Raw genomic sequence first — 11,766 nt, 5'->3', positions numbered from 1 at the left:
ATAACAAAACAAAACGAAACAAAACATCCCTGTCTATTTACAAATAATATAATTGTTGATACAGAAAACGTCATATAATGCACCAAAACTTAAACTATTTGGAGTATTGCAAAGTTGTAGGATACAAGGTTAACACACAATAATAATCATTTGCATTTTATATATAGAAATAAAAATTTGGAAATTTAAAAAGTACCATTTAAAATACAATTAATCTTTTTTTATTTTTATTTTTTTCAACTGTTTTTCAAGATGGCAGATAAGAAGCAGTGTAGTGTGTCTTTCCCACTTGGAAGGACAGAATAGTGGGTAGAGATTCACACTGTGAATTTGTTTTCCAAGAAACATGACAGGAACTTACCAGGAAAACTAAAAGAATTCACAGACCCTTCAAAAGAAGTAGAAGGCTGCAGCCTATTCCATAAGACAGGAGAGAAACTCTAAACAAAATAGTCATAAACTTTTGGGAGCTTATGGCCCCGTCCATCACTTGAGAAAGTAGAATACTTCCCCTGGACAACACAGGGCAAGTTCAAATCGCACTGCTACTACACAGCTGGTGCTCTCTTGCAAGCACCATCTTCCGGCTAAAGGTCAAGAAACTCAGACCATTACAACACCTCTTGGCAGAATAACACTGTACCCAGGAAGGAGAAAACAGCTGCGGGATCTCAGCTAACACTACTACTTGCAACACCTCGGCTAACCAAAGGTCCTGAGTCTGTCCACCTGACAAGTTTACTAATAGCATAGCATTCGAGAAAGCCAGCACACTAAGCCTATCTACACCCAAGGAATCTCACAGAGTCTATGTCTCTTCCCTGCCACCTCCATTAGAGCATCTGCTGGTATCCACCTCTGGGAGACCTGAAGACAGGTCACATCACTGGATCTTTTGCAGACATTTCTCAGCCTGGAGTCATATAGCCCCACTGGGTGGCTACACCCAGAAGAGCAATCACAATCACTACAGTCCAGCTCATAGTAAGCCCCATTCCTATATGAAAGGGGAGAGCACCACATCAAGGGAACACCTCATCGTACAAAAGAATCTGAACAGCAGGCCTAACGCCCCAGATCTTTCTGCTTGTGGGAAGTTTTCTACAGCAGAGCACAATTGCTGTGTTGAGCACAGTATGGAAAGTCTGCTTCTCTACCCCAACGGTCTCTGTGATTGTGAACGGCCTTGGAGAAGGGGTCCTTGTCCCTGCTGGTAGACCACTGCAAACACAGCTGGGACTTGTCCCATGGGAATGCAGCTTGGGTGCACTTATGGACAGCCTTCCTGGAATAATTCACAGTGACTGCAGCCCCACAGAAGGAGCACTCCCCAGATTCAGGCCTGCACAAGAGGCAGAGTCACAATTCCTCTCCACTTGAAACATGGCATTTCCGCAGATGAAAAGAGGTGCCTGTCTGATCTGAATAGCTGGAACACTGGGAGAAGCATGAGGCTGTGAGGTGAATAGCTTTCCTCCTGGCCTGGAAGGGGATCTGAGGAAGCTCCCACTCTTCACCCTGATAAAACCTCAGCACATCAAATTGAAAGTGCCTCCATCTACCTTTGTCAAGGCTGGGACCTCTGCCCACCACTGAGTATTACATCTACCCACCTGCCTCAGCTACAACTGGTACCTCCCCCATTGGACTGAAGCTAGAGTCATCAACGCAGTAAATAAAATAGTGAAGAAAATAATAAATAAAGTGTATGCTATGAGAGAACGAGAGAAGCTTCAAGAGATCCCTGCCATTCTAACCCTATATGAGACAGTAAACTTGCCCACACACCAAGTGTGTGACACTGGTTTTCGCAAAGAATTCATAAGACCTTAAAAGCAAATGCAACAAAAACAAATAAATGGGACCTAATTAAATTAAAAAGCTTCTGCACAGCAAAAGAAATAATCAGCAGAGTAAACAGACAACCTACTGGGTGTGAGAAAATATTTGTAAAACTATGCATCTGGCAAATATCTAGAATCTACAAGGAATGCAAACAAATCAGCAAGAAAAAAGTAATCCCATCAAAAAGCGGACAAAGGATACGAATAGACATTCTCAAAAGAAGATATACAAACAGCCAAGAAACATAGGAAAAAATGCTCAACATCACTAATTATCAGAGAAATACAAATTAAAACCACAACGAAGTACCACCTAACTCCTGCAAGAATGGCCATAATTAAAAAGTCAAAAAATAATAGATGTTTGTGTGAATATGATGAAAAGGGAACACTTTTACACTGCTGGTGGTAAGGTAAACTAGTACAACCACTATGGAAAGCAGCATGGAGATTCCTTAAAAAACTAAAAGTAGAAGTACCATTGGTTCCAGCAATCCCACTACTGTGTGTCTACCCAAAGGAAAATAAGTCATTATATGTACAAGACACATAAACATACATGTCATTGCAGCACAATTTGCAATTGCAAAGATATGGAACCAACTTTAGTGCCCATTAACCAACAAGTGCATAAAGAAAATGTGGTATATGTACACCATGAAATACTACTCGGCCATAAAAAAGAATGAAATAGTGTCTTTTGCAGCAACTTGGAAGGAGTTGGAGGCCATTATTCTAAGTGAAGTAACTCAGGAATGGAAAACCAAATGTTGTACGTTCTCACTTGTAAGTGGGAGCTAAGCTATGAGAACTCAAATGCATAAGAACGACATAAAAAACTTTGGGGACTCAAGGAAAATGTTGAGACTGGGGTGAGAAATGAAAACTATATATTGGTTATAGTGTACACTGCTCAGGTGACAGGTGCACCAGAATCTCAGAAATCACCATTAAATAAATTATCCATGTAACCAAAAACCATCTGTACCGAAAAAATAAAAATTAAAATAAAAACAATAAAATACCATAATATCCCTAAAACTAAGGTGTAAATCTAATAAAATATGTGCAAGATTTGTATGCCATATCTACAAAACATTGCAAAGAGGAGTTAGATGAGGCCTAGATAAATGGAGAGATGTACTATGTTAATTGATTAGAAGATTCAATACTATTATAATGTCAACTCTCCCTAGATTCATCTATAGACTTAATCTCACCAGATGTTTTGTATACAGTGACAAACTGATTCTAGAATGTTTCTGGGAAAACAAAGGAACTAAAATAGTTGAAATAACTTTTTTTTAAAGAAAAAACTTAGAGGACTTATACACTACATGATATCAAGGCTTTCTGGTAAGTTTCAGTTGATGTGGTATTGGTAAAAACAGAGATATAGATTAATAAAACAATAGATCCAGAAATTGATCCAAACCCATATTATCACTGAGTTTGGCAAAGTGGGAGGCATAATTTTATAAAAATCTCCCAATCATTAAACCCTGTATAATCTTCACATCTTGAGTGTGGTAAAGACCTCCAAGTATCATGAGATATCACTCCCAATGTTATGTAATTTCATATGGCAACATTAGTGCTGAAATGATTGAACATCCTTATGCAAGGTAACGATTCTTGGAGGTCTGTTCCAAAATACTATAAAATTTTTAGAAGAAAACACAGGAGAAAATTTCTGTTACCTTGGTTTAGAAAAGAATCTTAAATGAAATAGGAACAGCTTGGATCATAACAGGAAAAAAAATCAATAAATTAGACTCAGAATAATTTTTTTTCTTTTCAAAAGATATAAAAAATGAAACCACAAGTCATAGACTTAGAGAAAATATTTTGCAAAATTCTTATCCACCATAAGGCTGTTTTACCAAATATGAAACTATACACTCAAATCTTATAATAAACTAATAACCCAATAATAAATGCACAAATGATTAAAATAGACATTTCAATAAAGAAGATATACAAAAGAAAAATAAGCATAAGAAAAATACCCAACATTATTAATTACTATGAAAATACATACTTAAACTACAATGTGATACCACTTATTTTCTCTTAGAATGGCTTTAAAGAAACTTGACAATTTCAAATGCTACAAGGGAATGGAGCAACTGGAACTCTCACATGTTCTTTTTGGGTATGCAAAATGTAATAGGGACTGTGTAAAACTATTTGGCAGTTTCCTAGAAAGTTAATCAAATACTTAATTCGTTATGCATCCTAATTGTAGTCTCAAGAGAAATGAAAACCTACATGTACACAAAATCCTGTACATAAATGTTTAAACAATTGTTATTCATAATTGTCAAACTGGAAACAACCCAAGTATCTAACAACTTGTGAATGGATAAACAATGTATATAGTACATTTATGTAATATAATATCAAAATAGATTATTACTCAGAAATCTTACATGCATTATTATAATTGGAAGAAGTCAGACACAAAAGTCACATACTGTGTTTTTTAAGGTATAAAATATTCTGAAAAATGCAAAATTAAAGGGACAGAAAAAAATTAGTTGTTTTCTGAAACTAGGAGTCTGCAAGGGGATTGACTTAAAACAGCATTGGGGGAAACACAATAGTCCTGATGACAGGACTATTCCTATACCTTGAATTGATATTCATCACTCAAGTATGTATTTGTCAAAATTCATAGAATTATACAATGGGTAAAATTTTTATGTTTGTAAATTTTACATCAATAAGTCTGACTTTCAGAAAAAAAAAAATAGAGACAACTACTGCCCTGGAAAAATCTATCTGTTGTAACTGGAGTTTATTGAAGGTTTACAACTTCCAGGGAAAAGCTTGGACGGTAAATTGCAGTTAGCTGTGGTCAATTTCAGTTCTCAGCTAATCAGCAGCCACCCATCACCACCCTCCAGCCCTGTGGCAGGCAGTTGTGTACACATTCAAGGAGCAGATTGAACACAGCTTTCAGGAGCCGTGGTGGGAAGTAAGAACCTTGTTCTCCAGATATTTGAGATCCATGTTTCCATTGCCAATGGCTGCTTCTAATCCCAGAGTGTAGACATGGATGTGACCAACCATTGTTACTTTGCCCCTCACTGTTGCAAGCTCCTCCGATCTCTAACAAAAACAACTTATAGGAGGTTTAAAGGGCTGATGCTTTTTAAAAATTCCCTCTTTATTTTTCTCTTTTTCTCCTTTTAGGACCCAGACATTAAAGACTACAACATTCCAAAGCAAGAACATATATAGAGTAAATTAAAAAGTGACTACACTGCCCAGTGAAAGGCACAGGCTCAGAAAACCCCTTGGAAGACGTAAGTATACAACTTAGCATGATTCTCAGCATGGAGACAGCCTACAACAAGAAGAAAAAAAGCAAAACAAACTAAAACAAACAAACAAAAAATCCCAGAAAACCCTGGGAAGGAAGAGAATCTGATTTGCAGAGTTACAGCATGATTAGATTCAAATGGTTAGTTTTCAAGAAAAAATTACTTGGCGTACAAAAAAACATAAAAGTAAGCAATTACAGCAAAAACAAAAATTGGCAAGTCAGATCAAATTAAACCAAAGATGTTTGTAAAGCAAAAGAAATTATCAATAGAGTAGACAGAAAGCCTACAGAATGGGAGAAAATATTTGCAAACTATGTATCAAACAAAGGTTTAATATTCAGACTCCATAAGGAACTGAATTTAACAATGAAAAAACAAATAACCCCATTAAAAAATGGGCAAAAGACATGAACAGGCACTTTGACACTTCTTAAAAAAAAGACAAACACGTGGCCTATAAGCCTATGAAAAAATGCTCATCATCACTAATTATTAGAGAAATGCAAATAAAAACCACAATGAGATATCACCTCACATCAGTCAGAATGGCTATTATTAAAAGTCAGAAAATAACAGATGCCAGTGAGGTTGCTGAGAAAAGAGGATGCTTATACACTGCTGGTGGGAATGTAAATTAGTTCACCCACTGTGGAAAGCAGTGTGGAGACTTCTCAAATAACTTTAAACAGAACTATCATTCAATCCAGCAATCCCATTACTGGGTATACACCCAAAAGTGTAGAAATTGTTCCACCATAGAGACATATACATGTGTATGTTCACCACAGTGCTATTCACAATAGCAAAGGCATGGAAGCAACCTAGGTGTCCATTAATGCTGTATTGAATAAAGAAAATATGGCACATATACACCACAGAATACTATGCACCCACACACACACACAAATGAAATCATGTCCTTTGTAGCAACATGGATGGAGCCAGAGGCCATTATCCTAAATGAATTAATGAAGGAACAGAAAACCAAATACCGCATGTTCTCATCTATGAGTGGGAATTAAACATTGAGTACAAATGGACACAAAGAAGGGAACAATAGACATCAGAGCCTACTTGAGGGTGGAGGATGGAGGCGGGTGAGGATTGAAACACTACCTCAGATACTATGCTTATTACCTGGGTGAAAAAATAGTCTGTACACCAAATCCCTGGGACATACAATATACCCATGTAACAAACTTGCACATGTGTCCCCTGTACCTAAAATAAAAGTTGGAAAAAATACCAAGAAAGTATGTTTCATTCCAAGGAAAAAATAAAACAACACAAACCATCTCTGAGAACAACCTGATGGCAGATTTTTTAAATACTTTAAAACAACTGTCTTAAAGATGCTCAAAGAACTAAAGGAAGACAGAGAAAATTTTTAAAAACCAAATACATGAACGAAGTAAAAATATTAACAAAGAGATAGAAAAGCAAAAAGAATCCCTCCAAAATTCTGTAGCTGAAACGGACAATAAAAGAAAGAAAAAAATCAGTTGTTAAACTGGGTCCTTAAACATAACCACCATGGTAACCACAAAGAAAATAGTTATAGAATATATACAAAAGAAACAAGAAGTCATTGAAAAAAGTCAGCTTAATACAAAAGAAGGCAGTAATGCAGAAAATAAGGAACCAAAATAATATAAGGCATACAGAAAATAAATAACAAAATGTCAGAATGAAGTTCCTCCTTATTTTTACTTTAAATATAAATGAAACTCTCCAATCAAAAGACAAAAATTGACAGAATGGATTTTAAAAAACCATGATCCCCAAGGTGGGCAGATCACTTGAACTCCCTTTGGGACCATCAATCTGGACACAGTGAAACCTCATCTTTACAAAAAATACGAAAATTAGCCAGGCACACGCCTGTAGTCTCAGCTACTCAGGAGGCTGAGGTGGGAGGATCACTTGAGCCTTGGAGATTGATGCTGCAGTGAGCCTTGATCGATCATATCACTGCACCTTTAGCCTGGGTGGGAGAGCAACACGTTTTTGAAAGAGAGAGAGAGAAAGAAAGAGAGACAGGAAGGAAGGAAGGAAGCAAGGAAGCCCCACAATCCAACTATATGCTGTCTATAAGTGATCCACTTTAAAGCCAAAAACACTAATAGGTTGAAAGTGAAAGTGTGTCCAGAATTGGTTCCTTCCGGTGGGTTCTTGGTCTCGCTGACTTCAAGAATGAAGCTGCGGACCCTCGCGGTGAGTGTTACAGTTCTTAAAGATGGTGTGTTCGGAGTTTGTTCCTTCAGATGTTCAGATGTGTTGGGAGTTTCTTCCTTCTGGTGGGTTCCTGGTCTCGCTGACTTCAGGAGTGAAGCTGCAGACCTTCGTGGTGAGTGTTACAGCTCTTAAAGGTGGTGCGTATGGAGTTGTTTGTTCCTCCTGGTGGGTTTGTGGTCTCGCTGACTTCAGACCCTCTCAGTGAGTGTTACAGCGAAAGAACAAATCTTCCACAGCATGGAAGGAGACCCAAGCGGGTTGCCGCTATGTGCTCGGGTGACCAGCTTTTATTCTCTTATTTGGCTCCACCCACATCCTGCTGATTGGTCCATTTTACAGAGCGCTGATTGATCCATTTTACAGAGTGCAGATTGGTTCATTTTTACAGAGCACTGATTGGTGCATTTACAAACCTTTAGCTAAACACAGAGTGCTGATCATGGTGCATTTTTACAGAGTGCTGACTGGTGCATTTAGAAACATTTAGCTAGACACAGAATGCTGATTGGTGCATTTACAAACTGTTAGCTAGACACAGAGCGCTGATTAGTGTGTTTACAATCCTTTAGCTAGACAGAAAAGTTCTCCAAGTCCCCATTCGACCCAGGAAGTCCAGCTGGTTTCACCTCTCAAAAGGATGGGAAAGGATATTCCATGCAAATAATAACCAAAGGAGTATATTAATATCAAACAAAATAGGTCTTAATCAAGGAAAGTTGCAAGAGACAAACAACATTATATATTCATAAAATGTTCAATACAGCAAGAAAATATAACAATTATAAACATTTACACACCTAATAACAGACCATCAAAATATATAATACTGACATATGCTATAACATGAATATACATTGAGATCATTATGCTATGTGGAAAAAACCTGTCATGAAAAGACAAATATTGTATAATTTTCTTTATATGATGTAGTCAAATCATATAAGTTTGTACCGTGTGCCTGTAAAAGCTGCAGACACTCAACACCAGCCTGTGAAAGCAGCAAGGAGGGAGGCTGTACCATGCAAAGCCACAGGGGCAGAGCTGCCTAAGGCCATGGGAGCCCACCTCTTACATCAGCATAACCTGGATATGAGACATGGAGTCAAAGGCGATCATTTTGGATCTTTGAGATTTGACTGCCCTGTTGGATTTCAGACTTGGATGGGGCTTGTAGCCCTTTTGTTGTGGCCAGTTTCTCCCACTTGAAATGGCTGTATTACCCAATGCCTGTACTTTCTTTGTATCTAGGAAGTAACTAACTTGCTTTTGATTTTATAGGCTCATAAGCAGAGGATACTTGCCTTGTCTCAGATGAGACTTTGAAACTGTGGACTTTTGAGTTAATGCTGAAATGAGTTAAGACTTTGGAGTACTGTTGGAAAGGCATGACTGGTTTTGAAATGTGAGGACATGAAATTTGGGAGGGGTCGGGGTGGAATGATATGGTTTGGCTGTGTCCCCACCCAAATTTCATCTTGAATTCCCATGTGTTGTGGGAGGGACTCAGTGGGAGGTAGTTGAATCATGGTGGCGGGTCTTTCCCATGCTGTTCTTGTGATAGCAAATAAATCTCAGAAGATCTGATGTTATTATAATGGGGAGTTTCCCTACCCAAGCTGTCCTCTCTTGTCTGCCACCATGTGAGATGTGCCTTTCATCTTCTGCCATGACTGTGAGGCCTCTCTAGCCATGTGGAACTGTAAGTCCAATAAATGCCTTTCTTTTGTAAATTTCCCAGTCTTGGGTATGTCTTATTAGCAGTGCAAAAACTGAAAAATACACTAATATAGGACAAAGAAGAAGGAAATCTTGGAAAAGACCCTTGAGTAGGCAATAGAGGGTGGAATGTATTGCAGAGTGGAAGAATTGACCACAGGTGGCAATAGAAACAATTATTCTCTGGCAAAACCTAATAAAATAGTGGCATCTGTAGCAAAGTAATAAATAACACTGATGTAGCACTGATTGTACATCAGGTATTATTCAAAGAATTTCATTTATGTTGATACATTTTTCATCTACAACCTTTGAGGTAATTAAGTTTTATATGGTGTATGATACTTTACAAACAAGGAAACTGAGTAACATAGAGGATAAGTATCTTGCTCAGCGATGCAGTCTGGCTCCAGAATTATTTATGCACTTACAAGATAGGTCTAATTACAATTTTGATCCAAAAGTTTAGGCTCAGAAAGATCCATGATCTTGCCCTAGGTCACATAGCTATTAAGTGTTGAATCTGGGCATGTTGGATCCCAAAGATAAAGCTCTTTCCAGGCCCCTGTGTTGCCTTAATTCAGAAAAACCTAGGAGAATTCAAACTCTAGGTAACTCTGTCTGTCTAGACAGTAGCTTTTTTTTTTTTTTTTTTTTTTTTTGGTGTAACAATGAACCTAGAAAGCCTAACTATGCGCCCTAGTTCTGCCCACTCAGCTGTGTGTGCTTGGGTGGGTTGCTTGATTTCTATGTATCTTCAATTTATTATTTGAAAAATAAAAACAATAACCGTCACCACTTTTAGTTATTATGAGGATTAAATTATTTATAATGGTGTTCCGTACATAGTAAGCAATAATATGTCAGCTACCATTTTTTATTTTAAGCTATGCATTTCCAATAATCATAATTATCTCATTCATGGAATGCATTTTCTGCCAAGACTTATTGAATCTTAGTAGCTACAGTGCCTTTTGCTAGGACACATGGGACACAAAAGTGAATTAAACAGGACTAAATATAAACATACACACACACCCACACACACACACATATACATGGAGCCATATAATTTTCAGTTCGGAAAGGACCATTGGAATCATAAACTCTAACTCCTCTCCTTCCCCATCTTAATGAACTCTCAATGCCTTACTGGACAAGTGAACCAAAAGCATCACAGATGTCAAGATGGGAGGTTGTACCTCCTGCCTTGCCTAGTACAAGCCCAGGCCATCACAGGTATTTAAAAAATGCTTGTTTGGTGAAGAGCTTAAGCGACAGTCATGAAAGGGAGAATGATCTGTGTGCATTGGAGCACACTGCACTCCAGCTGAGCATTATGGGGTAGCCATCCCTAAATCAATGCTGAGGGCCAAGCCTATTCAGACCTGGGGGATGCTGATGCCAATAAGGAAATGTTAGGCAAGGAAGGAACCACTCATTATTTCCAGAAAACTGCATAGACATAGGGTGTAAAAGATGTATCATAAGCCACTAAAGAGCCTTTTGTTATTGACTGTTCATAGGCAACTGCTTGTCATCTGACTTCTGACAAGAGAATAGAGTTTTCCAAAGTGGAATCATTTCCCTAGGTAAATGTATCTTGTGCTCTATTCCGCTTCGATGGAACTGACATATTCAATGTTGGATGCCTTCCATGTGAAGATTTATCATTTAATTATAACTAAGAACACTGAGTAAATCCCAGCTGCTTCGGGAAATTACTTACTCGAAATGCAGGATTCTCAATAAAAGACCAGGAGCTTATTTCTGATCCACAGACTCAAGATTGCAATTCCCTAAAAGTGACAAATGTTTCAGGCACCAAGAAAGAATCCCTAATTATAAGGCACATGATATATTCCAAATTAGAGAAGGGCAAAGATGAGCTCTCTGAAAGGTATTTTAGGGGGTTGAAAAGAGATCAGATGTGTTAATTTCTTACCCTGTGCACCTAGCATACGCTCCCTCTCTCTCCTACTATGAGTTAAGACTTACAGCATCCTGGAAGATGTGTCTCTCAGTGCCATGTGGGTAACCACACCGCTTAATTATTCTGTTTACTGTGAGAAGAAACTCAGAGAATGTTGTTTCTGGGCTTTTCATCTTTTGCTCTCATAACCTCAAAACAGCATTAAAGGGATGGAGCTTTCAGGCAGCCTATTTCATTAAGAAAATTAATTCAAAGGTTTCTACCATTTGTTACTGTAATGCATATCTTAGGTCTGGATTTAGGAACTGGAGGCAGTTTTGCGCAAGGAAGCATTCAGTACTCTTTTACAATGTAGAATTTCAAGCAGAGGTTATCAAACCTGGCTGTACATTAGAATTTTGGGGGAATCTTTAAAAAAAATCCAATGCTTTTTTCTTCACTTCAGAGATTCTGATTTAATCAGTTGGGGTATAGTCTGAGCACGTTTTTTTTTGTTTGTTTTTTGTTTTTTTTTCGAGATAGAGTCTCACTCTGTAGCCAGGCTGGAGTGCTGCGGCACAATCTTGGCTCACTGCAACCTCCGCCTCCCGGGTCCGAGTGATTCTCCTGCCACAGCGTCCCGAGTAACTGAGGATACAGGTGCCCGCCAACATGTCCAGCTAATTTTTTTGTATTTTTAGTAGTAGAGACAGGGTTTCCCCATGTT

The sequence above is a fragment of the Homo sapiens genome, chromosome 8, assembly GCF_000001405.40.
Source record: "Homo sapiens chromosome 8, GRCh38.p14 Primary Assembly".
NCBI lineage: Eukaryota > Metazoa > Chordata > Mammalia > Primates > Hominidae > Homo > Homo sapiens.
This window is presented reverse-complemented; position numbering follows the sequence as displayed.